The sequence below is a fragment of the Homo sapiens genome, chromosome 18, assembly GCF_000001405.40.
Source record: "Homo sapiens chromosome 18, GRCh38.p14 Primary Assembly".
In the NCBI taxonomy this organism is placed as follows: domain Eukaryota; kingdom Metazoa; phylum Chordata; class Mammalia; order Primates; family Hominidae; genus Homo; species Homo sapiens.
Genome location: NC_000018.10, coordinates 9,117,817 through 9,145,600, shown reverse-complemented (window position 1 = coordinate 9,145,600; position 27,784 = coordinate 9,117,817). Strand labels below are relative to the sequence as shown.

Sequence of the window (27,784 nt, the reverse complement as noted above, 5' to 3'; positions counted from 1 at the left end):
CTAACCATTTACAACGTGATGGAATAGAGAACAAGACAGAATGATTCGTGTCTTTACATGGCTTACCATGTTCCTTTCCACAGCAACTAGAAAGCAATTTGGATGATTAAGGAATAATACTATCCTCCTATGTGATTATGTGTGTATTTTGTTTCCTGAGTGTGAATTCTTAAAAAGACACATACTATAATATTGCCTTCACTTGTATCTTCCCGAATCCCTGCCTCAACAATGCTAGATGTAATGCTGTACCTAGAGACATTCCTCTAAAAACTGTTAATTATGTAAATGTTTAAAACTTCACTACATCCAGAGTCTGGCATGGTGGCATATGCCTGCAATCCCAGCTACAAGACAGGCTGGGACAGGAGGATTCCTTGAGCCCAGAAGTTTGAGGCTGTAGTGAGCTAGGATGACACCACTGCACTCCAGCCTGGGCAACAGAGCAAGAACCCATACCTAAAAATAAAACTAACAAAAACTTCATTATATCTATGATACTTGTTCATTGTGGTAAAACTGGAAAATTCAGAAATAAAAAGATAAAAATTTCAAATACTTTCAAATTCAAGAACCCATTACATTTTCAGACTGAATACTTCATGACTTTTCACTTTTTACTCCTTGTAAAAGTCCATAATCATAATTATTGATATATTAGTATGATACACATATTAATATGTATACATATTTATTACATAATGTATGTATTACATACATACAAATACATACATAATTAATATGATATGCAAATTACATATTTTCCCCTAAAGTTTCTAAATTTATCATTTTATCTTTTCTTTTAATATCATCATCTTTGAAGGTGCAGTTTTGAAAGGAAGCAATATAGTCACCATCACTTACTAGATATGTATAACTTTAAATGATTTAACTTGAACCTTAGGTGCAAAATGGGAATAAGATAAACCTCGTTAAGATTTTTGCAAGTATATGTGGAGAACCTATAATCAACTATGGAGTAGTTGTAATTATACCTCTGCCAGTCTATTAGCACTTCATAATGAATACGACTCAAGTGTGAGACTACATGTTTCCCCTTATGCTCAAAAGATTCTGTTTTCTGCTACTCCCACCCTAACATCTGAGTATACAAAAGCTATAGGGAGGGGAAATTCTTAGACTAGGAGTGTGAATGGAATAATAAAAGAGCATAAAGAGTAATCACCCCAATAAGGTAGTAGTACTTTGGACAGAGCCTATTCTTCTGGGGTTTTTGAAGGGACAATGGTGCTATAAAATAATATTTGTAACATATAGAAGATTAATAATCACTAATATATAAAGATTATGCAAAAGGAGGTTGGAGAATTAATAACCTTTTTATTATAATCTTTAAACAATAGCATACAATAATTGCATGCTGTAAAACCCTAACAAAAATGTTAAAATATTATTTAAATTATTGATTGCTACTCCTGGAAGTTTTGAGTAAGAAAAAAAGAGAAAAATGGCCACAGGATATGATGTGTCAAGTCACAGTAGAGAAAATGCAAATGATTATTTCCTCATGCATTAGCTAATGTAAAATGAAAGTGGTAATATAATTTTTAAGTTTAATAACACAAATATAGGTATGTAAGTATCTATGTAAGTATAGATTAATTTTCAATGGGGCTTTCCAAGAAAGAGCACTAGTGCCTGAAGGAAGAGGAAGAGCTTCAAAGGGTGAAAAAGGACAAAGGAAAGAATGAGTAAGCCAATCTGCTGTCAACCATTCTTGCTTACTTTCAATAACATGAGGACAAATAGAAACACACTAAAGAGGGCGGTGGTGGTGGTGGTGTTTGGTCATATTCAACTGCAGCTTAAAGAGAATGCTCCGCAGAGAGTGGTGGCTCACGCCTGTAATCCCAGCACTTTGGGAGGCCAAGGTGGGTGGATCACGAGGTCAGGAGTTCAAAACCAGCTTAGCCAACATAGTGAAACCCCATCTCTACTAAAAATGCAAAAAATTAGCCAGGCGTGGTGGCAAGCGCCTGTAATCCCAGCTCCTCGGGGAGCTGGGGCAGGAGAATCGCTTGAAACCAGGAGGCGGAGGTTGCAGTACGCCAAGATCATGCCTTTACACTCCAGCCTGGGCAACAGTGTGAAACTCCGTCTTAAAAACAAAACAAAACAAAAAGAATGCTCTTCACTCCTGAGATGTTTTTACAAATCCTGGAAGATAAGCGTAATTTCTGAAGGCTCAATAACCACTACTGGATGATCACGTCAACTATAAATATATTAGTGAATTGGACTGATCTTAATCAAGAAAAAATTTCTCAAAGTAACAGACTTAACATTTTTATAACTTATAAATTTCAACTTAAGTTCTTGAGTAAAAAAGACCCAGTTAGAGATATTCTGGCAACAACTTTTTGAAGTGTTTTCTTAACTCGATATTTAAGATATCTACACTTACATGTAACATACATGAAAGTATCTAATAGTATCTAGCGTACAGAAGCTCAATAGAAGTTCTTTTCCTTGATTACCAAGTAACTTCCAAGTAGTGAGAATTAAACTCTGGTAGAAAGGATTTATTTTAACTCAGAGGTTCCAAGACTACTATAGAACACTGGAATGCAAGCCAAGGCTTTATTCCTAGTTACAATATTCTTGTGCAAATTATGGTAGGAAATGTGTTATGAAATTTTAATTTTCTTATCTAATTGTCTTTATCATCATTAACCATTACAACTAATTTTTTTTTTTGGAGGCAGTATCACTCTGTCTCCCAGGCTGGAGTGCAGTGGCTCAATTTTGGCTCACTGCAACCTCCACCTCCTGGGTTCAAGCAATTCTCCTGCCTCAGCCTCCCAAGTAGCTGGGATTACAGGGGTGCGCCACCACGCCCAGCTAATTTTTTGTATTCTTTAGTAGAGAGGGGGTTTCACCATGTTAGTCAGGCTGGTCTCAAACTCCTGACCTCAGGTGATCTGCCAGCCTCAGCCTCCCAAAGAGCAGAGATTACAGGAGTGACCTACTGCACCTGGCCCATTACTACTAATTATTAAAGCTGTATAAGGAATGTTTTTAATGTTTACCTCTACTCTGTTTCAGAACGGGTAAACAGAATAGAAAGTTGTGTACAATATGAATTTGGTGGGAGAAAATAGAAGTGCATGTCTCTCCTTTCTCTTCCTTTAGGTTTGCTAATGCTTCTCTTTCATAAGTGAGTTTCAAAGGAATCTAACATTACTCCAGATACTTTTAACCTGGATTCAATCCATGGCTCAGTATCATCAGATTAGCTGACAATCCTTGTTCTGCTACTGAGCTGTGAGGTTCAAAAGAGAATCAGATGTAAAAAGCACTGTGTGAACTACAAAGCACTGTAATTTTTAAGTTACTATTTTTCTTTTGAGAGTCAATATAGCTATTTCTAGGCAGAAAAGAGAGCCACAAATGGTTTTTGTTCTCTATTAGAAGTCAGAATGCTGACAAAACTCCTATGTAGGAGTAACAATCTGAAATCTGAGAAGCTATAGAGTTCTATTGTAACTCTTTGCTATTGTTACAATAAGAGACTATATAGCAAGGTAAGGTGGCTAAGACCTGTAATCCCAGCTACTAGGGAGGGTGAAGCAGGAGGACTGTTTGAGGTCAGGAGTTCAAGACCAAGACCAGTCTGAGCAACATAGTGAAACAAAACAAAAACAAACAAACAAAAAACCCACTATTTATTTTAAAAGGTTAACAATTCCCCAATCTATGCATATTATTAGAGATTAATCTTAATTGTCAAAATAAGATAGTTAACAGACATAAGGTAGTTAAAAATGTACTTATTGCTAACATTTGTGTTATTTTTTCCCAGTTATGGCCTGAGTACACACTGAAAACCAGAAAGGTAAACTATTACATATTTTGAAACAATTTTAGCCCAATAAACAGATGTTAAGGAATTGGCCAAAGATGACACAATTTTTAAATTTTTAGAATTTTTTTTAAAGCCAAAGAAAAAGAAATGACTTCCACCCTGTAACTTTCAGCTTCATAATCTACCTCCTTTAAGTTGGAAGCATCTCCATGTTACAACTGAATTTTCTAAGGACTTATGTTTGAATTTAAGTTTCTTACAATTTTGGAGGATCGCACTAATCAGAAAACCTGGTCTTGGATACTGTTTTCTAAGCTGGACAAACTCAGCAGATTTTCTATTGCTGGCTCTATTCCCTTATGAAAATCCTAAATGAGTTTGGTTAGCTTTTTCTTCAGTCACTGTGATGAAAGAATGTCTCTTTAGAAGCATGATATCAATAGCAAAGTGGAATTTGCTAGGATAGCCTCATATTATATGAACAACCATGGCCCTTTCTGTATCTGGTAAGAATAATGTGCTCTGACAACTAATATAAAACCACCACCACCACCACCACAGCAACAAGTATATCAGCATCTCATAAAAAGGGTTGCTGGCCTATGTTCTATGATTCCCATAAGGTACTTCTTTTCTTTTTTGACCACCCAGAAGGTAGAATAGCTGGCCCCCAAACATTTTTCATGAAATCTGAAATTTAAGAATCCCCGCCTTCAAACTCTTCGAAAACCAACACTCTTAATTAGAGGCAGAGCAATGGTTAATAAAACAGGATAATGAAATCTATTATTTAGTATGTAAAATCTATCCATCACATAACTCTTCACAGCCTCAGTTTCCTCTCCGTTTTACAAGGTTATTATGAAAATTACCTGAAATGTTTCACTTAAAACACAAATTTGCATATTCTAAGTGTTCAGCAAATATTATCTATGATTATTAGTACCTTTATTTTCAAGACTATAAAAACTCCGATAATCTATGTAATACTACAATACTGAGGTTGGTTTCCAGGATTATCAATTGAAAGCACTAAGAGGTTTCAAACTTAACAGCAAAGGCAAACAAAAACTGTTTTAACATTTCTGAATATTTCAGATATACCAGATAACACGAACTATTCAAAGCTGAGTTTTTAAAGGAAATCATCTCCTCCTTTTGCGTACCTGAAAACTAGCAAGAGTCAAATAAATTAACATTGCTACTAAGATTACTTTCACTATTACTTTTAAAAAGCCACTGTCTGTTACAGAAACAGATTATGAATGCATGAGTATACATGAGAATATTTTCAAAGGCTAAAGAAACTTCATATTCTCCAGGGAAAGTCAGACTAATAACTGCAATATTTAAAATGTTCATAAGCAGCTTAACTAAGGTTAGAACTAAGTGGGGATCAGAAAATGTATCTACAGGAGTTATCTGTAAAACAGCAGAAGATGAAAACAATAAAGGTAGGGCTACGCAAAAATCCAGGGATCTAAACACCTTGTTACACTTTAAGAATTGTATTTTCTTTAAAAATAACATCACCACGTTGTATAGAAGTTTACAGTGTACAATGTGCTTTCTAAAGCATTCTCATTTGTTCCACATGAAAACATTAAATTATGCAGGAAAATTACTTTTGCAGGTTAAGAAGACAAGGCTATTATTTTTGTATTTTTAAAGTTGCAGCTGATAGAAGGCAAGGTTCTGAAAGTTAATGCGATATGTCAAAAACCACTGTTAGGAAGTGAGGAAGTGATAAATCAAGAATTTAAACCCAGGCCTTCTCACTTATATTTCAATGTTCTTTCCACAACTCCGTAAAACTTCTAAAGAAAGAGGCAAATTAGCATCTTCACAGAAAGAAACCTCTCGGCCAAACCACAGACTAGTTTTTAACTAGCTGCAGACTAGCTTTAAGTCTTTTCACCTTATTTTCTCATGTGTAAAAATAAAGGAAATGAATAAAGAAAATCAGAGGTCCCTTCCTGTCCCAAGGATAAATCTCAACACTGCACCCTTTACAAGGCACAGGCATCTTACAAATACATGTTTTTAGCAACAAATTCCAAGTCAGAAAGCAGTGTCAATAGCTCTTAAGCAACCTACAGCAATTATTAGACAAATTCTTCACGCCCATCTGATACACGTTACTTTAACATAACTAAGTCTATATACAGAGAGCAGTAGAAACCTCTTATGAACTATGATGGAAATGATTGCATTAACCATCCTCTTTTTGGACTGAAATAATGCTCCTAAAACGTAAGAATGGTTTAAAGAAAAGTTTACGTGTCAGCTAATAGCAAGAAATCAAAATGATATTTTAAAAATCACTTATTTTTTTTTAAGAATAAAAATCTCTTCTCCAACGAAGTGTTTTCCAAATATCCTACCATTTCTCCAATCTACTTCAAAAGAGTATCAGTCATGGTTTTCAACTTCTATAGGGGAAAAAGTAATATCGACAGCTTGATAAAAGCATCTTCCTTTTAAACTCATTCTACCAGCTGGACACTAGTCTGCAAATAAAATTCAGGCTTTTTTCCCCCTTGGGTATTAACAAACCAGTGTAAGTCTGCACAATGTATTTTCAGCTAAATTCTTTCCTCGTCTGAATATTTTTGTTCTCTTCACTCCTCCTCAAATATTCTTCATGGAATACACACCCAGAGATTTCCACTTTCCCAGTTCTGCGTAGTTCATAAAACTATTCCGATAACTAATTCTTACCAACTACTATGAAAATTATGAGATTATGAAAACTATACAAGATTAAGAACATTAAAAGTATCCTACATAAGTACACTTAACACTCATTTTCCTTCCATTTTAACACCTCATCTGTCTCTAAAACACATAACGAGTTAAACTTGACCTTAGCCAAGATGCCTGTAGAGCTTCAGAAATTTATTCAGTGCCTGTATCAAATATAAAAGATCCTTAAGTAGTAAAACTTTTCTCCCCTTGTCTATAATCTCCAGGGGTAAACATTTCAAATTTTTAAAGGCTCCTGCTTTTAACCCAAATTAAAGATTTTTCTCAACAAGACTGTTAATATAACGACTTCATCTTACACGGTGGACACTATCCTCATTTTGCTTTTAAGCCACTTGGCACCAATAGAGCATATGTTCTGCCAGTTCTGAGCTAATCTCCAGGAAAGGCTTTGTATAACGATTAAAGAAACTCAGATCAGTGCCCAAGATTTTTAACGGCCTACTTGAGCATATGTTTTTTTGTTTGTTTGTTTGTTTGTTTTGGTATGTTTTTGCGACGGAGTTTCGCTCTTGTGGCCCAGGCTGGAGTGCAGTGGCACGATCTCGGCTCACTGCAACCTCTGCCGCCCGGGTTCAAGCGATTCCCCTGCCTCGGCTTCCCAAGTAGCTGGGATTACAGACATGCGCCACCACGCCTGGCTAATTTTGTATATTTAGTAGAGACGGGGGTTTCACTATATTGGTCAGGCTGGTCTCGAACTCCTGACCTCAGGTGATCTACCCACGTCGGCCTCCCAAAGTGCTGGGATTATAGGCATGAGCCACCGCGCCCGGCTGTGCATATGTTTTTAATACACAGTTAATTTACGATAAAATAGCTATTTCACTAGCCTTTCTTTATAATTTACATAAACCATTCTAAAATGAAAACGAAATACATGACTGCAGATGCAGGCTCATTTCAACTTTAGGATTAGAGGTAATTCCGAACCATTACATACACAGCACTGGATCTGCAACACACTTCACCTTAGTTCGCAGTTTAACCACGGGTGTCCAGTGGAAATTACAATCCCGGTGACTACACTGCTTTAAATGTTTCCTAAGGTTTCAACGAGTGCAACAGTAACTTCCTATCCCAGACAGCGTCTTACTGTTATTACTAAAACAGCTGTCAGCTAAGCTTCGCATACCTCTTTGTACAACCGTTTATTCAACGCTTTGGGATCTGTAAGGATGCGTCACTCCACATCACTCCTCAAAACGAGATCTAAGAACCTGACGTGCTCCAGGGGTCTTGAAGCATCACAAGTGGGTACTTGAAAAACGATGACGGGAACTGCCTGTCCAATGCGGCAAGGTTATTTTACACTGGCATTTAAGACAGAACTGTAGAGTGGCTGCTCTTTCCCCGGACACTACTAAAGCAGCAATTTCCCCTTCTTGATTTCATCCACCTCTCCCAGGACCCGGGTACCTCCGACGCTCCCGGCCCGAGCGGCCGCGGCAGACTCCCCGGCGTCGGCGCACGCTCGGCGGCTGGCGGCGGGAACGCGCGGCGGGCCGGGCGCGCCCCCGCCCCCGCGGGTCCGACCGCCGCACGCCAGCGGCGCCCTCTCGGCCGCGCACACTCACACTCGCACGCACACGCTCCTCCGGCCCCGCCATGTTCCGGGAGGCGGCGGCAGCCCAGCCCCGCCAGCCGCGGTGAGGGGCGCCCGCGACGAGGCCAGCTCGCGGCCCTCCGCCCGGCCCCCGCCCCGCCCCGCGCAGCGCCCCCGCCCAGTTGGCGGCTCCCACCTGCGCCGCGGCTCCTCGCGACGCCGGGAGGGGCGGCGGCGGGCGGGGCCCCGGCGGACCCGCGCCGGGGGGCACTAACGGCCTGTCACTGTCAGGCGAGCTACGGCTCGGGCCAGGCTGGGCGGGCGGCGCGTCGGGACCGGGGGGGGCGGGCAGGGCGCGTCCCCTACCTTGCTCTGGGGAGGGGGAACGGGAGCAGCGCAGAACTGAGGGGATCTCCTCCCTGGCGCCGGGGACAAGCTCGAAACCGCGCCCCTCCTTCCTCCTTTCCTGTCGCCACGCCCCCCTCACCCGTACGGACCCGAGGCAAGGCCGGCGCAGGAGGCTTCACCCCCGGAACGAGTGCTTCGGCGTAGCCGTCGCTGTCGTTGTCTTCGTCGCCGCTGCAGCCGCCTGTAAAGCCGCCGGAGCCGGGCTTGAAAACATCTCCGGTCTCGGTCCGTCTCTCACCACAGCCTCCTCGCTCCCAGGACAGCGTCGCCCCGCGATTGGCTGCGACGCGAGCACGTGACACCCGCGGACACGTGACTACCGCGGGCACGGGACGGGCGGCGTGACCGCCCCGCCCCCCGGCGCCCGCCCCTCCTGCTGCTCAGCCAGGCTCCGCGAGCCGCAGGGCGGGGAAGCGGGACGTACCAAGCGGCAGGCGGCGGAGGGGTGCGGGCCGGAACTCCGCCCTTCGTGCTGGTCGGTCTCCACGCCCCACTCGGACTAGTGTCACCGCCTCCCCGCCGCAGACACTATCCGACAAAGGAGGGGGAATCAAAGGCTGGGCGAAGAGGCAGGGCAGGCGCCGGTGACGCTGCTGGGCAAGCGGGCTCTGCAGTAGCATTTGTGGCGACCGTGGCAGTGGCTGTGACTGGAAGCTTCTGGAAATGGCGGCGATGAGGACCCCCACATAGGGTATTCACCTGTTATTTTTACACGGGGTGGGTGGACGAGCGTGATCCAACTCAGGCAAAATGACGCTGCGACCGCAGCCCGAGGACTAGGCGAAGTTCCCCCGCTAAGCCGGCGGCGGCCGTCTGGCCCCGCACCAGGCCGGAGAAGCTGCACCTACGCCCAGAGCCCGCGGCCCCCCGCCTCAGGTGGGGCCCTGGGCCCCGCCCCGAAAGCGCGGTAGCGTGCACCTGCCCTGGCACCAGGGGGTCTAGAGCGCGTCCCCTCCCAGCCACGCCTTCCAGTGGCCTTTTTAAAGAGGAATTCAGTGCACCCTCCCACACGTAGTGTTGGGGATTTGAGAGGGAGCTGCTCAGGTACTAGGAAGGGTGCCGGAGGAAAATTGACCGTCGCAGCGTGGCAGCAGCGTGTACTCACTCCCTTCTGGGCGCGTTATTTACGTAGAGGTTAATCTGCAACAACAGCGTCTGTTTATGACTTAGTGCATGCAGTTACAAGTTTATGTTACACTGTCCTTTAACGTCTTGATGAACTGAGGGTTCAGGTGTGATCACAGCAGATGAAGTGACATTCAGACCTGACAGGGACGGCGAGGTCCCATCAAATTACTATGTAAAGCATAAACCTGCATTAAAGATCAGGAGTTTTTCCTTTCCTGGGTTCCTGATTTCTCCCACCTACAAATCTTTAGGGTCAACAAGACTAGAAAAAGAGCACCTTATGGCTAGAGGTGGAATAGTGTTACATTTAACTTGGTTATTTATGATGTGAAATACAAAGAAAAAAACAGTCGCCTATGAGAAAGTCAGGAGAGCTCCAGGGTAGGACATTTTCATTGTTACTTTTTTGTGCCACTTGGAAAATTAACTGTTGTTTACCTTCTCTCAATTAAAAAAAAAATCTTAAAGACATACTTAAAAATAATCGTTATAGCCGAGCGCAGTGGCTCACGCCTGTAATCCCAGCAATTTGGGAGGCTCAGGCGGGCAGATGGCTTGAGCCCAGGAGTTTGAGACCAGCCAGGCAACATAGTAAGACCCTGTCTCTAAAAAAATATATGAAAATTAACCAGGCTGGTGGCGCCTGCCTGTGCTCCCAGCTGCTCAGGAGGCTGAGGCCAGGGTATTGCAGTGAACCAAGATCACACCACTGCACTCCAGCCTGGGGACACAGCCTGTCTCAAAAAAAAAAAGCATAATTACTAGTGAATAGTCTGTTTCAAGTACAGGTGACTTTGAGAAATCGAGGATTAGATTAATATAAATTATTCATGCATTAAAGCTGGCTAATGCAAAACTAATGTACTACAGCTAATTTCTTAAATACACAAAAGGGTTTATCCTTTTTTCTAAGTTGTAATATCCATACCACTGCAGAGTACATAATCATACTTCCAATCCCTTCACCCAATTATTTTTTGTATACTTGCAGTGTCAGAATAGCTAAGGATAATGTCAAGTGTTTTGGACCTTTCTTTTTTAAAAATGGTAATGCTTAAGCCGGGCGTGGTGGCTCACGCCTGTAATGCTTGCAGTGAGCCGAGATCCCACCACTGCACTCCAGCTTGGGAGACAGCGAGACTCCGTCTCAAAAAAAAAAAAAAAAAAAAAAAGGCTTCTAGAGACAACTACCATATCCTCCTTAAACCTACAGTGTGCTTGAGGTCTTACCAGTTGGAAATACAGTAACAATTATGTGTTTTAAATAATGTTTAAAGGGAGCACTGACAAAGTTTATAGAAAGATCATGTTAACTTAAAACTTGGCTGTGGCTAAAGATGGGAAAGCAAAACATTTGTAATTTAACCAAATTTTTACTTCACAGTAACCTGATCTTGATAAAAGCGATCTGGAAATTGAAAATGGGTGACACTAGAGTAACTGTTAACTAGATTATATAATGATGTCTTCACAGCCATAGATAGAAGACTTTAAAATGGTCCTCTGTCATTATGACATAATACTTAGAGCTGCAAGTTGCTACGGTTAGCATGAGGATGTACACAGAGCAGAATAAACAAATAAGTTTACGTAGATTGGAAGTCCATATTTTATTTCTCTAGTGACATATTTACAGTTCAATATAAATTAAAGGCCTGCTTGTACACCAAATCCAGGTCCCTTGGGTGGTTCAGTCAAAGAGGTAAGACCTCCAGCTGGCTCACAAGAGAAGCGTCCACTCCTGAAATGAAAAGTAATATTAAACTATTAATGATTAACATTTGTAAATTTTTACTTAAATTGTAATGGTTACCTCACAAGAGCCCAGTTAAGTAACTATTTTTACCCTAAGAACTAGCATAGATTATTTAATTCAAACATTTCAACTGATGCAAGATTTTCTCTTCCTAAATTTAAATATGGAAAAACATCAGACTTCACCATAAACATAAAAAATACAAAAGTAGCCCTAATAATAGTTCCTATTTACTGAGCAGTATGCATACACTAGCTCATTGAATCCTTACGATGCCACAAGACAAGTGATACTGGCTTTATTTTACAGTTAGAGAAACCAAATTTGGGAGATTCAGCATCTACCCAAGAATCAAAGCAAAGAACTACGGCAAAAATACCCAACCCCAGAGAACATTTTTAAAAACCATGTTTTAATAAACTAGAGCACTGTATTTCTTTTTAGAGTTGAATTTTATTTAGATCAAGATCCACAGTCACAGTGAATAGAGGGAATACACACACTTATACATTGTATTTGGAAATAGAAACTGGATTCCTTGAGGAAATATGATTTGGGACAATGTCCCTTAGAAGCAGCGAAGTCAAAATCAGTTTGTATTTATGTATTATAAAGACTATATTAGTAGTAGTAATTTTCTGAAAAAAGTTTCCAAACCAGGATGGCCATAGCAGCCACAAAAGGAAGCAAACAAGAACAAGTCCTGATGGAGCAATTTATGAAGACAGGCAGCATAGAGGGAGAAGAACCTGTCTGTCAACCCCACACACGCTTTCCCAGGTAATTGCTCACCTCTGCCCTGTCTGACCTCTGTTTCTAGAGCCCAGCTCAGACTTACTGTATGTCACCCCTCCACCACTATTCCCTGGCTTTGCTAATTTACCTGTTCCTGCCACAGATTTACCTAAAGAAAGAACTTGTTCAGTTTATATCTTTTCAACCCCCTCTGGCTTTGCCCTTCACATTGTGTCATCAATCCTTTAAGTCTGTTCTTTAGAGCCCTAGGGAATCATTTTTTATTGGAGCCAGGAAAGTGACACCACATAATATAAGATCTTTCAAGATGTCACAGCATATAATACAAGTTACTAAGTAATGAACAATTATCTACAAAGTCAGAACTTAGTTAATATCTTTGGATTATAGGTCTTGTTCACTACAAAAACAGATAAAAAAGCAGTCATTGTATACTGTAAGAGCCTGAAACTTGTAGAGTAAGCAGCAAAATGATACTTAACTTTAAAAAAAAGACAACAGTATTATATTTTGCAATTTTTAAATTTATTTATTATTTTTGAGACAGGGTCCCACTTTGTCACCCAGGCTGGGATGCAGTGATGCAATAATGGCTCACTGCAGTCTTAACCTCCCAGGCTCAGGTGCTTCTGTCACCTCAGCCTCCCACGTAGCTGGGACTACAGGTGTGCGTCACCATGCCTGGCTAATTTTTGTATTTTTCGTAGAGACAAGACCTCACCATGTTGCCCTGGCTGGTCTTGAATTTGTGGGCTCAAACAATCTGTCCGCCTCAACCTCCCAAAGTGCTGGGATTACAGGTGAGCCACTGTGCCCGGCCTGTAATTTTTTATGTTGCCTATTGATAGGCACCACTGCTGCTCTTTAAATGTCAATGAAATTATTTTGGAGAAACTTTCTTCACCTTTACTAGGTTTCTTCTTACGGTTTAAGCTCAGCTACCTCTTCTTTTCTGCCTAAAACTTTTCTCTTGATCAAATATCAGAATGGAATATGATTTAAAAGTTTCATTTTAGACGTCTCCTGAAAGCTGAGCATTTGTTATCTTAAAGCCTCTTACCAGTTTGGATAGATATGGATCTTCCAAAATTAATGAGCTCCTTAATATCGACACTGTTTATCAACATAAAGGATCAATTTAGGAAGATTATAAAAACTGAAGTTTCCGGAACAATAAATGGGAGAATTAATCGTAAGTACTTCCTGAGTTCTTCACAGGATTATAGAATTTTATATATGGAAGTAATTTTAAAAATAATCTGGTCTAGAGTTTCCTAAAGTTTGTTCCATAAAATTACAATCCCATGGCATTGTATAGAAAAACGGGAGTCCCAGTGATCCAGTATGTCTGGCTGTAAACCTCCCTTCCTCGCCATTCACACAGTGTACCTTAAAATACTACAAAGGCTACAAAAATCCTCCAATAAAGCCTATAATTTTGTTTAATCTACTAAAAATGTAACCCCCCCTTTCATCTGTAAACATGCCTCAGAACACTCAAGAGGCAGTGAGCTAGCCCTATCCACTCACCTGACAGCCACAATTTACACTAGTGTTTTTCACTTACTAAACAAAAAATGATTTTCCTGATATCTCATGCTTAAAATGCCATCTAATAATTACATCTTCACTAAAATTTAAAAAGTATGGTTCGTCAGTCATTCCAACACTATACGTATGTGTACCATTTTAACTTATTTGCTTTCTAGAAAACTTGGCCTTTCTGTAAACTTTCATGGCTTAAAGTACTTTACATAGACAAATTACTTTATAAAAGTTTAGTGCTTTTTACTATTGCTGAGATATATCCAGCACTGTCCCTACTTTTAGTATAAAAAACCAAAAGTGATGTTATTGTCTAGAGTCATCTACCAACCGCATTGGAACTGTAGCCTAGCTCTAAATATGAAGAATTAAAGTTGGATTTAAAATGAGTTATAAACTAATCCATACTAAAAAATTTCTACCTATTAGTAACCTGAAAACAAGTTTAGAATTTTTCAGTACTTTAAATTCACTGAAAATAAGAACAATCTCAGCACAAAAATATTTAGTAATGTCAAGATTAAGAGACTACAGCTGACCCTGAACAACACAGGTTTGAACTGCATGGGTTCACTTGTACATGGATTTTCTTCAGCCTCTGCCACCTCTGAGACAGCAAGGCCAACCCCTCCTCTTCCTCAGCCTATACAACATGAAAATGATAAGACTTGTACTATGATCCACTTAATGAAGAGTAAATATATTTTCATTATGATTTTAATAACATTTTCTTTTCTCTAGATTATGGTAAGAATACAGTCAGTATATAATACAGACAACATGCAAAATATGTGCTGACTATGTTATTTGTTAAGGCCTTCAGACAACTGCAGGCTATGAGTAAAGTTTTGGAGGAGTCAAAAGTTACACACAGATCTTCAACTGCATGAGCAATCAATGTCCCTAACGCCCATGGTGTTCAAGAGTCAACTGTATTATCTTACCACTGCTTTAATATTTTCAGTGGTCATTCACCAACGATAATACAAAAGCAGTTTTGAACCACATATAGACATCAGTCTTTTACTAATTTTGGCCAGGGTAAGACCTGGCAGTGGTACTCAGGAATCAGTTACTATTGAACCAGTTTAATTCCTCTCGGTTTTTCATTACAGAGACGCACAATTAGTACCTCTTTCAAAGAGCAGAGATATTTATTATTAAAATACCAATAAAAAAGAATTAGACAGCTTTGGTTAATTTAGAATAACTATAACTATATTATGGTTATTGCTATCCCAGTCTCTGTCATTATCCTATATATCCAAGATATTGGGTAAGTAAAGTGAAAAGTTCTTGTTTTCATATGCTGACAAGACATTCTAGTATTGCTATGTCCAAATACAAGCTTTATATAATACAGCATTGGTGGATGCTTGCAATTATTGAAACCTAAGTAGACTTTTGTCTGCTTTTTAAATAAGAGGTAGTAAGTAAAAAAAGAGATTCGGACACGAATAATTTTGAAGTATTTGGCTCAAATCCAGAACACTGTCAAGAAAATCTCAGCGAAAAACTATTCATGATTACTGATAAGTAACATCCCTATTATTATCAGATGTTGTTGAAAATGCTTAACTGAGTACTTAGTTCCTGCTTATTGTTAAAATACAATGTTATAGTACCTCATATTACAAATAACAGATTTTAATTTCACCCCGATAATGTCATCCAGATTTATAACTTTAAATACTACCCTTAGTAACTGATGAATCCCCAATTTGTGTTTCCAGCCCTAACCTATTCCCTATATTCCAGGTTCGTATCTACCTATCAGCATCATACCATGGATGTCTTAACAGGCATCTCAAACTTACTATGTCTAAAACAAAATTTGACTTTTCTTCCCCAAACTTGCCCTACCACAAATCTTCTCTATTTTCGGTAAAGGAACCTCAGAGATGCTCAAGCCAAAAAGCTGAAAATCACTCATAAATCCTTAGTCCCACATATCTACTAAATTCTAATCTCCACATAGCAACTATGGCAGTATTTTAAGATTGCTCATTCCATTCCCTACTGAAAACATTCCAACAGTTTTTATTATATTTAAGATTCAGCCCAGATTACTTATCTGGGCCCTTATCTCCTCTGACCCCTTCCACTGCTTTCTTGCTTGAGCACCTCACTGCAGCCATACTGTTACCTTACTTTTCTTCCAGGACCCTGATACATCCTCTTTCCCCTCCCTGGAACATTGTTCCTTCAGCTCTTTACATGGTTCCCTCTAGCTCTTCATTCAGGTCATGGCTCAAATGTTACCACCTCTAAGCGGCCTCTCCTCACTAAATTTACTCCCTATCTATCCCCTAACACCTGCTACATTTTATTGTGTAGCCTTTTTATCACTCACATATTACACTAGTCATCTGTCTCCATCACTAGAAGATATATGAGAACTTTATCTTGTTCATAATTGTATTCATAACCTAAAATAATGCCTGACACACAGCAGGCACTCAAAAAAATTTGTGAAAAAAATTACTGTTGAGTATTTAATGTAATGTGACATAACAAAGTAGACAAAGCAGGTATCAATTTGTGTGGCAGGAGAGTAATACTAGATTAATATGAACCATAGATCCCACAGTTCACAAGAAGCAAAGCAGAAGATTCTAAACGCCAAAGTGGCCGGGCGTGGTGGCTCAAGCCTGTAATCCCAGCACTTTGGGAGGCCAAGGCAGGCAGATCACTTGAGGTCAGGAGTTCGAGACCACCCTGGCCAACATGGTAAAACCCCGTCTCTACTAAAAATACAAAAATTAGCTGGGCATGGTGGTGGCACGTTCTTATAGTCCCAGCTGCTCGGGAGACTGAGGCAGGAGAATCGCTTGAGCCTGGGAGGCAGAAGTTGCAGTGAGTCGAGATCACACCACTGCACTATAGCCTAAGTGACAGAGCAAGACTCCATCTCGGGTGAGGGGAGGAGTGGGGGGGAGGAAGCCCAACACCAAAGTTATGACTATAGAATTCAAAACATCTAATCAGAAGAGAGGGGCCATCTAAAGAACCCAAGTGGATTTCACAAGGAAATCTGCACTTGAGATATTCTTTAGAGTACCCAAAAGGTGAAAGAAGTTATGGGCTGAAGTACAAACCTAAGAATAGCATGAATTTATTTTAAAATACCTGAATCCTAAAAAGCAGATGAAGCTTGTGGAAAATATTATGAAATTTGTACTTTTTGGGGGGACAGTGTCTATTTAAAGCAAGAATAAGTAAGGGATAGGAGCACTAGCTAAGAAAGATACTGTAATGATAGATGACTAAAGGTTTTACTTCAGTTGCCTCCATAAAGGAGAATGATTTTTCACCAGGGAAATGATTTACCTCCTAAAAAAAGGGGTATACCCAAGAAAGTGAGGAATTAGGAAGAAAATGCCAACACTCTTTAAGCAAATTCAATTCTATAGGCTCAGGTTGTTAAGAACAGTATACGTTTCTTAGAAAAGAAAGTAATGGTCAACAGGGGCCAGCTAGCATTTACTAAACTTAAGTTATCCTGAACTGACCTCATTTTCTCATTAAGTAGGGTATTATTAGTAGTTTTAGAGAGCAAACTCTAGAACCACTCATACCCTCTTAGTAATTCTACTTCAGGGAATTGTTATTTATAATAAAGCTTAAGAAAAATATTTTAAAACGGGAGTAAGAGCACATCACAGCTGTTTTAAAACATTAGAATACCGTATGGACATCAAAAACTCCAAATGTGCTGAGGGAAGAAAAAATTTATATACATAAACAAAAAATTTGAGGGATTATGACTAAAACCATGAGAACATTTGCTAGTATTAAGAGAGAATTTTGAGTGATTGAACACATACATGGAATAAGGGTTTGTTTAAAAGTGAAAATCCAAGTTCATAACTGAAAGGAAAGTAATTAATGTAACACAGGTATGGGACGGGAGCAACCTGGATAAATAGTGAACAGAAAAAGATCTAGGTATTATGAAGTGCAGTTAATTGTGTAATGTCTCTGAAGTAGGAGTTGATATAATTAGGCACAATTATTACAAGCATAATGTCTGGAACAAAGGAGGCAGTCCCACAATGCTCTGTGCTGCTCAGTATGTATCTCAAAATACCATGATTAGGCCGGGCACAGTGGCTCATGCCTGTAATCCCAGCACTTTGGGAGTCTGAAGCGGGCAGATCACGAGGTCAGGAGATCGGAGACCATCCTGGCTAATACAGTGAAACCCCGTCACTACTAAAAATACAAAAAATTAGCCGGGCGTGGTGGCTGGCACCTGTAATCCCAGCTACTCGGGAGGCTGAGACAGGGGAATCACTTCTACCTGGGAGGTGGAGCTTGCACTGAGCTGAGATTGTGCCACTGCGCCACTGTACTCCAGACTGGGTGACGGAGTGAGACTCCGTCTCAAAATATAAATAAATAAAAAAGACAAAAAACCATGATTAGTTTAAGCATCACATTAAAGCATTAAATAGTCACTAGCCAACTAGAAAACCCACAGAGGGAGACCAAAGCTATGTCATATGAGAAAAACAATGAAACAATTGTGGATATTCCATCTGAGAAAAAGATAAGGGGAAGACAGGGTAGCTATTTCAAGTAATTGAAGAGCTGTCATTTGGAAGAGGTACTAAAATTATCTTTTGTTGATTCAAAGGGCAGAATTGGATTTTTAGGTAGAAATTAGAGGGAGATGGTCTTTGGGTCAATCTTCTATCAGTATGAACTTTTAAATAATGGAATAGATTTCTATTTGTAGTAAAATTTCCTTCTCTATAAATATTCAGGTATCGGATGATTATCAGACAGGGTTTTAGAAAAAAAATTATTCTTGCTCTAGATGAGATTCATATAGATAATACTATCCAAAGCTCCTACCAATTCCTATGAACTTAAGGTATAAAATTTTTTAAATCAAGTTTATCTGAAAGATTAATTTAGGTGAGCCACTAAAACTTCCTATATATAAATAAAGCATACCTTGGCCCTGGTTTTGGGATTTTGCCAGCCTTGAGCTCATCAATAATTTCTTCAATATCCTTAGCTGTCAAATCCTCCTGGAAAAAAAATTAACAATAGTCATATTTAAATTACTTTCTTTTATATCGATATATTTATAGAGACAAGGTCTCACTATGTTGCCCAGGCTGGTCTCCAACTCCTGGGCTTAAGCAATCCTCCTACCTCAGCCTCCCAAAGTGCTGGGATTACAGGTATGAACCACCACGCATGGCACAAAATTACTTTCTACGGCTGAAATCTGTAAATCCCTAATGCCAGTGATTTTATTGTCTGTCTCAGCTCACAAGATAGTTACCAAGGCATCAACAATTAAGTAACTCCTATATATAGTACACACTGCTAAATATAATATGCAACAAGAGCCTGCAGCTGAAGAGGCAATACAGAATATTGCTCTGAATTGAAACATATTTGCATTTGAGTTCTGGCTCTATCACTTACTAGCTAGTAATCTTGGACAAGTTACCCAGCCTCCCCAAGTTTGTTTGTTTATTTGTAAACCTAATTCAGCACGTTTTTGAGGATTAATGAGAAAATATATAAAGTAGAACAGTGTCAACGTACATACTAAATAAATGCTGTATTACTGAAGAAACAGTAAGGTACAAAGTAGCTGTAGTAACTTGTTAAGTAGATGCCTAGTATCTATCCCTAAAGATCTAACTACTGCTAACTGAAAGAATACCTATCTCAAACAAACCCATCTACAGGCTACTATATTTAGACTTAACAATGCTTCACACAAAGCCTTGACTGTCTAATTCCTATTTAAATCAAGAAATAAGTACCCAGACGCCAAATTCTCAAGGAAAACCAAAGAAAGAAAGTGGAACATCAAGCAAACTTTGCTTCAGAGTTTCAAAGCTTAGAGGGGCAAGGGACCCAGCCAGCCCCAGAGAGTCTAACAAGAGACCATGTAAGCTACACAAAGTTAAGGTCCCCAAAAGCTTTAACCTCATTATAAGAGTAAACTGTCCCTCAAAGAAAACTGCTAGTCTGGAACCTTTCACACCGGAGGAACAGAGGCCTAGGGTATAAGGAGAGGGGCTTTTCTGGGGCCAGCAGTACTGCCAGGAGCAGGAGAGAAACAAAGCAAATCCCTTCTTAAAAGAAAATCTACCTTAAGTACAGTCCCTCCAAAATTTCCATAAACAAATTTCTAAGAAATATGAGCTAACAAGGTATCTTGAATGAAAACGGTGATATAATTAGGGTAGCAAGCAATTTTTAAAGAAATAACTAGAAAACGCCATATATATGGATATTAAGAACATTTTTAGAAACTTACAGGTCAAAGAAATCAAAATGAAAAACAAAAAAAAAACAGAAACGCTCAATCAAAAACAAAAAAGACTGCAAAACTTGTGAGATCCAGCTGCAGTACTTAGAGGTATGATACCATCTCTATAAAATTTTTTTAAAAAGCCATACAACATATTAGTATAGCTGCATACATATATAGACACAATTTATGATAATGGTTATCTCTGGGGATAAAAGGAAGAGAAAAAGATTTGGGATGGAGTATTTCACCTGTATCTGTAGCTTATTTCTACAAATGATGATGATGATGATAGTATCTGAAGTAAAATGTGGCAAAATATTACTCTCAGTTAAGTCCTGATAGTTGGCTACACTAGGATTATTTTCTGTATTAATATCCAAATTATTAAATTTTTCATAATCTAAAGTTTTAAAATTTGTCTTCTGAAGTTAAATGCAAAAATGTTTAAAGAATTTTTTAAAACCTGGATATTTATGGTAACCATTTCTTCTAAATGAGTAATTCAGAAACCAACATCTAAGGACACAAAATCAAATATTTAAAATGTTTTAAATATGACATCATACAACTTTAACTTGTATTACCTGAAATACTCACATAGTAATTGTCATTTATTTGAACCATTGGTGCGTTCACACAGGCCCCTAAACATTCCACTTCTATAAGAGTGAAAAGTTTGTCAGGTGTAGTCTCCCCAACCTTTATTCCTAAAAATACAAATAAACACTCTAAGGACCAGGTTATATTTTAATAGTCATTTGGTTTAAAAAAAAAAAAAAGAATTTTTATAGAGGTATATTAAAAGTTTAAGACTATTAAGTTTTTTAAAAAGAGGCCAGGCGCGGTGGCTCACGCCTGTAATCCCAGCACTTTGGGAGGCTGGGGTGGGCAGATCACGAGGTCAGGAGATCTAGACCATCCTGGCTAACATGGTGAAACCCCGTCTCTACTAAAAATACAAAAAATTAGCCAGGTGTGGTGGCGGGCACCTGTAGTGCCACCTACTCGGGAGGCTGAGGCAGGAGAGTGGCGTGAACCCAGGAGGCGGAGCTTGCAGTGAGCCGAGATTGCGCCACTGCACTCCAGCCTGGGCAACAGAGCAAGACTCCATCTCCAAAAAAAAAAAAAAAAAAGTTTTTTAAAAAGAAAAAAATCCTAGGCCAGGTGGAGTGGCTCCGTCCTATAATCCCAGCACCTTGGGAGGCCGTGGTGCGAGGATGGCTTGAGCCCAGGAATTTGAGACCAGTCTGGGCAACATAGGGAGACACAGCTCTACAAAAAAATTAAAAATTTTTTTACAGTAGTAAAAATTTTTTACAGTAGTCATGATTGTGCTACTGTACTCCAGCCTGGGTGACAGAGCAAGACTCTCTCAAAAAAAAAAAACAAAAAAAAAACTCTATGTAATTTTAACATTCAAGGAAGTTTTTAGTGGACTTGTTCCTTTAAAAGCAATCAAATTTCAGAGGACTTATCACCAGTGTTTACTGTTATACAGCAGTGCATCAGGCTGTATTATTTTCATTTTGATTGTAATAATTAAACTACTAAAATCACAGTCACATTATCAGATTTGGCAAAGACTCAGAAAACTCCTAACGTCAAAGATTATCAAGGGATGTGAAGAAAATGGGTAGTCTCATACATTTAGGGAAGGCATTTGGGAAAAATACGGTAAAGTCTGACCCTACAATTCTACTTCTTGTAAACTATCTCAGCATACAACAGGACAAGTACGCAAAGATGTGTGTGTACATCAAAGTAACTGTTTGTAAAAGAAAAATGAGGCAGGCCAAGCATGGTGGCTCACACCTGTGATCCCAGCACTTGGGAGGCCAAGGTAGGAGGATTGCTTGAGGCCAGGATTTCACAACCACCAGCCTGGGCAACATAGCAAGACCCCTCTCTACAAAAACAAACAAAAATCAATTAGCTGGGCTTGGCAGCATGCACCCATAGCTACAGCTACTTGGAAGGGTGAGGCAGAAGATCACTTGAGCCCAGGAATTGGAGGCTGCAGTGAGCCATGATCCAGCCACTGCATTCCAGCCTGGTGACAAAGTGAGACCTCAACTCAAAAAAACAGAAAAAAAAAATGAGGCAGACATATATATTGTGCTGTAGAAATACAGCCAAAATAAAGTCTAAAAAGCAAGCATACATGTAGTACATTTATATATTTAATAATTAAAATGATATAAAATCTACAACTAATATATCCAATTGTTATCAGGATTTATACCTTGATGGTGTTGGGGGTGGGGGGGTTTGAGCCAACTTCAGCTGTTTTATATATTTCAATACCACCCAGCTATTTTTACAACATGCACATATTATATTCAATAACAAAATATTACTTCATTTGACATATATAGTTAGAAGTGTAGCAATGGCAGTTTTGTAGGGGAAAATGCCCATTTACTTTTAAAATGCTAATTTACTTTTCAAATGCTACTGTAATAACATCTGTTTCAAATTTCCCTTCCCAAAGCATTCTTACTATGCTTGTATCTTATTTGTTCCATGACTTCTTTAGAAGAATATAAAGACAATAATGGGTCACTTTTTAATATACCACATGCTGTCATAGAATAGTAAGTGAAACAATTTTCTAAGTGAAACAATCTTCTAAACAACGAATATTTTATAACTTCTACAAGCATTTCAAACATACTGATTAAAAAAGAAAAAATTAAAAACTCAGCTTTAACACTAAGAACTGAGGAAGAATACCAAATAGGAAGAAATAAAGATGTGGAAACACAGTAACACAAAATATTACTAGGTAAGTACAGATCCAATAAGATGGCAGAAGTTGGAAATTTTAGATAGAAATGTACCAAATCTAGAGAGACAATTCTACTTTTTATCAGTGTTACAAATATCATGTATTCCCTACCAAGCTTTTTCTGAATGGCCTCCAGTATGCTGTCAGAGTTTCGAAGCATGCAGGGTGTAGTAGTGCAGACCTGAATGTGATACTTTCCAACTGGCTTTCGATTATACATTGTATAAAAAGTTGCTACTTCATATACTCTCATTGGAGGTACTTGTAAAACTTCTGCAACCTAAAATATTAGGACATTTAAAAATAAGATAATTACAGTGTTAGTAATGGAGCTTTAATTATGTTGTACAAAGTATAATTTCAATATTGTCTCAATTTGGTAAAAACAGAAAAGTTCTTCAAGAGCAGAAAACATACTTGTCTTGGATAACTGGGAGATATAAACTCTTCAATTTTTGCAGACAATGTACTTACACTTAAACCATACAGAGCCCGAAAGTTAATGGAGTTAACAGCACTTCCTCCTTCTACCCTACTTCTCACCTCTGTAAAAGGATATTCTTTTTCTCTAAATCTTTAAGTATTTCACTATTAAGAATTTCTACTTTGATCATGTCAACTCACATTTTATAATCTGTCTAAATGGCAAAAAATTGATGGCCAAACCCCAATAAAAGAAGCAATTAGATTTTTTAAACTCTCACCAATTTTTTCCAAACAGCCTACATACAAATGGTACAGCAACAGAAAAAAAGGTTGAAAATCAAAGCTCACTATTGGCCCATATTTTAAATATGTAAACTCAAAATTTTATATCTCTACATATATGTATACACATATTATCATACACAATCACACACTCCTCTCCCAGAATCCAGCACACTACTTCTATTTCATATCACAATACTCTTTTGAAAGTTGAATCATATAGTCTAGTACTTTCTAACCCTTCACGTCAAGACATTAATAGAAAACAATTGTTTTGACATTCTGGTGTTCAGGACTAAGGGGATCACTAACTCAGCATCTTTTCTTAGGGCAAGTCTGTTAGGGAAAACGAGGATTTCTAGCTGTTTGCCAGGGCTGGTCCTTGTCTATCGTGATTTATAATTCTGTCTACAACTTTCTAGGTGACCTATTATCATTAAGACTTACTATCTGGCATTCTTAAAAATTATAGATATATCCATATTCTAATATAAAAGAAGAGCGGGCATTTCAGACAAGTATGTTAACTTTCTCATATTAGGAATTCTAAAGGAAATATATTCTCAAAAGACATCTAATCATGGCTCACTTGTGACAGATAAAGTAATTGTGCTATTTCATTCGGCAGTTCTGAATCAAGGACGTATCCCTGAATCTGGGGAGCTCTCTATCAAAATATACATGCTGGAACCCTACCAAAGGAATAATAAATCTGGAATGAGGCTCTGACTGTCTAATTAGGAAAAGACTCCTTCCTGGAATTCTGCACATCTCCCTACACCTTAGTGACGGTTAAATAAATAATTATTAAGCTTCTGGATATTTTTTGTTGTAAGGTTAGGTGTTTCATGGGTTGGGGGGAGGGGCAGTAACATTAAAATAAAAGTCCCAAATGTAAAGTGCAAAGAATCTTGAGTCTATTCCCTATACCCTACACTTCCTGCCTTTCCCCCACACAAATCCAACCCTAAATATAATAGGACAATATATAAATACATATTTTTTAAGAGATAGGGTCTCACCATCTTGCCCAGGCTGGTCTTAAGCTCAAGCAATCCTCCCACATCAACATCCTGAGTACCTGGGTCTACAGGCATGCACCACCATGCCTGTCTTATTTTTTAAATGTTTTCACTTTCAGTTTCTTATTTATTTTTATTTTGCTCTGCTAACGTGCCACTCAGCAAGATTTCCAACAGGCTTACCATTACTAAAAATATGATTTTTTCAAAATAATAACATTATAATTAGAAACATATACCTAAATCATTATAAAGTTGGCTATTTTAATTTAAAAAAATGTTAAGTAACTTCCCAAGAAATACATAATTTATCGAAGAAATAACCACCTATGTTTACTCAGGATAGTAACTCACTAAACTTGCTTTATAATATTTTTCATAGGGAAAAACCAGTGTTATAGTACTATACAATGCAAATAAAATAAAATATCAATAAACTAAATCTAAAATTTGCATTTAGGATTCTATTAGATAAATTGAGGACATTCCTATTCTCTCAGAAAGATGATTGTCTAGCCTAAGAGTTATAACCAAATTAAGTTTAGAAAGTGGTAAGAATGAAGTACAACAAAATCTCTGTTATAGTCAGTCAAGTAGAAAATGCACTGATTTAGAAATGAATTCAGTCCTAGCACTACCGCTCAGAAATCATAACTTAATAATTAGAAGAGGTCTACCTGGTTCAAAACTTTCATTGCCAATGAGGAAGTTCAGAGAAAAATCAGGTGTCTTAGTTCTAAGTCAAAAATATTTTCCATTATATAACACAGCTTAATGGTTATGTGATTCTCATCAGAATCAAATAGTATGTGGTTTGTGTATGGCACTTTATAAATGATATGCTGTAATACATCACCACACAAATGTAGTTATTTGTATTAACAGGATACGAATAAACTTGAAATTTGTATTACTGCTCAAAACTATTAGGAAAAATGAATATTATATGAATAGAGTAACTTTGAATAAAATGGGTCATCCATAGCATTTCTATAGGTCGTTGATTCCAAAGTAGCATAATCAAATTGTATAAATATCACCTATTATACAGATTTTTCTTACAGCCTACAGCCAAAGATGTAAAATATTAAAAATTTTCATACTAGTGAGCAGATCTTCTTTTCTGTAATTCTAGTGTTTAAATATTACATTAATTTTCAGAATATCTTGACACTAAGTTATACACATTTGGAATCTTTTATCTTTGACCATTTCCTTCAAAAGGAAAAAAAAAAACACATACCCTCTTTCACCATAATGCCTTCCTTATTTCCTGCAAGGTTAGAAATCACCTCTATGCATTAAGGGAATGAACAAAAACACAAAGACAATTCAAGGAAACATACAAATGGCTAAAGGGCTCCAAAATCCTAGATTCTGACACTGGAGATGATCAGAGTAATTTCTATAAAAGGAAATTATCATACACAATCTCTTCTCTTTTAGAACTAAGGCAAAAATGAATCCAGTACCTTGTTCATAGCAGAGATGGGCAACCACCCATTCTGCCTTTGGGCTAAATCCAGGACTGGAAGAACAGCTGCTGCTTTATGGCCTTCTGGATAGTTTTTTACAATTGCCTCTATCCTCTGTATAAAAGAAAGAACATCATTTTATACATCTAGAAAATATTACCTATTTGGTAAATTAATTATAATGTTAATTTAGCCATACCTTATAGTTTTCTGGTGTGAAATCAAATGGAGTATCAGGGTTATTCTCAGGAGTATCTCTGTGCTACACAACAAAAACAGTTTTTCAGACTTATCCAAATTCTCTCAAGTGTGAATGACACTGTACATTACTATACTATTACTTATTGTTTAATCTCTCCATTTTAATTCCAACATGATATATACCACCCTATCCTTCCATCAAAAAGAATGTCTAAACACACATTTGATAAGTATGATTACCAAAGTAAAGTTAGCAGAATTTAAAAATTTACAAAGGACCATTTAAAGAATAAGAGAAGTACCTTTAGGACCAAAAAAACCCAAACAACAAAAAGTGTTATCCAGCTTCATTAGAGAGTAAGATCTTCTGATAGAATTACCAAAACATTACCAATTATTGGAAGCCTTTATGAAATTAAAACACAAAATTTTAAATGTGAACATATGTGTATTTTCCCAAAAGCAAGGTTATCAGATTGTCAAAGGGATCTGGGATCCAAAAGGGTTAAGACCCATTACTTTAGGAGGGTACAAAAGGACCATCTTAAAAAAAAAAAAAAAAAAAAAAAAACAGCACCATCTCTTTCCCACGTTTTCCATAATAGCCAACAGCAAGAAGCTTTATCTCTTCTTAAAAGAGCAGAAGCAGGCCCTCTTCAAAAACTGACAAGAAATGGCATGTCAACAGGAAATCAAATGAGTCACACTGAGATTAACACTTACGATCAATTAATGTTATGTATGTGTGGTGAATACAGAAATGAATCTCTTGATATGTTAACTCTCGGAGTTCTGCTTTTTAAAGGACATAAGCCAAAAGAGGAAAGAAAACAGACACTCTGGACAATGATCTCAAATATGTGGCCAATTTGATGCTTGATATATAGCAGGAAGCTACTTCTTACACCACTAACTCTAAATCATCACACAAGTCCACTATATTGCCTTTATACTAGATTAATCCCTGAAAACAGCACCTTGTCAGAAAAGGGAGATATAATATCTTATCCTTTCCAAATTGTGCAACTAATCTGGGGAGTTCACAGACTTCTATTTATAGTTAAAACTCCGGAAACTAAAAATATAAAGACCAGCTGCTAATCTAGTTACTACATTACTAAAATCCATGAGTTTCAAACTAGTGTCATTTTGGGATTCAACAAGTTACAATCTCCAAACTCTCAGTAAGCCAACATGACTGAGAACCCAAAGTGTGATGAGAATCAGGTTAGGGCTCACACAGTAATTTCACTGGAAATAAATTCTTATTCCCAGAGTTTTCCTGATACTAATTTAAACTCATGAGGTTCAACTGGAACCAACATCTTTTGAAATGTAGTAAATTCAATTAGCTGTATGTAAATTCTCACGATGACCATCATATATCAAAGACAATGGTATTTAAGATATTTTGGATTTTTACAATGGATTTACCCCAATTTCCAAGTCTTTTCTTTCCAAAGAAATCTAAGTAATTACTTACCACAAATAAAGCTCCTCCAGCTCCATTTTGCATAACTGTCTTATGCAAATTCCTTACATGTCTTCCCTAAAATTTAAAATTTTAAGA

General features: G+C 38.2%; 2 protein-coding genes and 1 long non-coding RNA gene across 23 annotated transcripts in view, besides 7 other annotated features; 1 reads left to right on the top strand and 2 right to left on the bottom strand.

Annotated features, from left to right (window-relative positions):
- ANKRD12 (ankyrin repeat domain 12) overlaps window positions 1-8,820 on the bottom strand; it is a 149,205-nt gene extending 140,385 nt beyond the window's left edge. For 5 of the 18 annotated variants that reach the window (NM_015208.5, XM_005258095.4, NM_001083625.3 and 2 more), the window contains exon 1: window positions 8,636-8,820. The gene's annotated coding sequence lies outside the window, so the exon portion shown is untranslated. Of the gene's footprint in view, window positions 1-7,727; window positions 8,283-8,504 lie in introns of those variants that run through there. The other 13 variants (XM_005258093.5, XM_017025661.3, XM_017025663.3 and 10 more) reach the window with 8 other exon arrangements.
- Window positions 8,053-8,102: a silencer, noted in NCBI's record as "silent region_9281". NCBI's record gives its function as "represses an Ori minimal core promoter by ATAC-STARR-seq in GM12878 lymphoblastoid cells {active_cell/tissue: GM12878}" and the evidence as "EXISTENCE:reporter gene assay evidence [ECO:0000049][PMID:35858748]".
- Window positions 8,143-8,542: a silencer, noted in NCBI's record as "silent region_9280". NCBI's record gives its function as "represses an Ori minimal core promoter by ATAC-STARR-seq in GM12878 lymphoblastoid cells {active_cell/tissue: GM12878}" and the evidence as "EXISTENCE:reporter gene assay evidence [ECO:0000049][PMID:35858748]".
- Window positions 8,673-8,722: an enhancer, noted in NCBI's record as "active region_13072". NCBI's record gives its function as "activates an Ori minimal core promoter by ATAC-STARR-seq in GM12878 lymphoblastoid cells {active_cell/tissue: GM12878}" and the evidence as "EXISTENCE:reporter gene assay evidence [ECO:0000049][PMID:35858748]".
- Window positions 8,753-9,102: a silencer, noted in NCBI's record as "silent region_9279". NCBI's record gives its function as "represses an Ori minimal core promoter by ATAC-STARR-seq in GM12878 lymphoblastoid cells {active_cell/tissue: GM12878}" and the evidence as "EXISTENCE:reporter gene assay evidence [ECO:0000049][PMID:35858748]".
- On the top strand, window positions 8,881-24,336 carry NDUFV2-AS1 (NDUFV2 antisense RNA 1). Of its 2 annotated transcripts, NR_110771.1 has the most exons (4): window positions 8,881-9,237; window positions 12,091-12,210; window positions 13,203-13,378; window positions 24,145-24,336. It is a non-coding gene; the product is annotated as an NDUFV2 antisense RNA 1 (long non-coding RNA). The 2 variants fall into 2 exon arrangements; NR_110772.1 differs by lacking the exon at window positions 13,203-13,378.
- Window positions 9,213-9,262: an enhancer, noted in NCBI's record as "active region_13071". NCBI's record gives its function as "activates an Ori minimal core promoter by ATAC-STARR-seq in GM12878 lymphoblastoid cells {active_cell/tissue: GM12878}" and the evidence as "EXISTENCE:reporter gene assay evidence [ECO:0000049][PMID:35858748]".
- Window positions 9,453-9,542: a silencer, noted in NCBI's record as "silent region_9278". NCBI's record gives its function as "represses an Ori minimal core promoter by ATAC-STARR-seq in GM12878 lymphoblastoid cells {active_cell/tissue: GM12878}" and the evidence as "EXISTENCE:reporter gene assay evidence [ECO:0000049][PMID:35858748]".
- Window positions 9,545-9,718: a silencer, noted in NCBI's record as "fragment chr18:9135881-9136054 (GRCh37/hg19 assembly coordinates)". NCBI's record gives its function as "represses an EF-1alpha promoter that drives an FKBP-Casp9 reporter gene in an ReSE screen in K562 erythroleukemia cells {active_cell/tissue: K562}" and the evidence as "EXISTENCE:reporter gene assay evidence [ECO:0000049][PMID:32094911]".
- Window positions 11,260-27,784, bottom strand: part of NDUFV2 (NADH:ubiquinone oxidoreductase core subunit V2) — a 31,643-nt gene continuing 15,118 nt past the window's right edge. For 2 of the 3 annotated variants that reach the window (NM_021074.5, XM_017025782.2), the window contains exons 2-8: window positions 27,698-27,763; window positions 26,213-26,275; window positions 26,011-26,127; window positions 22,920-23,088; window positions 20,618-20,727; window positions 18,694-18,770; window positions 11,260-11,415 (exon numbers count right to left, since the gene is read on the bottom strand). In NM_021074.5, coding sequence (NP_066552.2) covers window positions 11,322-11,415; window positions 18,694-18,770; window positions 20,618-20,727; window positions 22,920-23,088; window positions 26,011-26,127; window positions 26,213-26,275; window positions 27,698-27,763 — 696 coding nt within the window. In that variant the 3' untranslated portion in view covers window positions 11,260-11,321. Of the gene's footprint in view, window positions 11,416-18,693; window positions 18,771-20,604; window positions 20,728-22,919; window positions 23,089-26,010; window positions 26,128-26,212; window positions 26,276-27,697; window positions 27,764-27,784 lie in introns of all 3 variants that reach the window. The other variant, XR_243808.4, reaches the window with a different exon arrangement.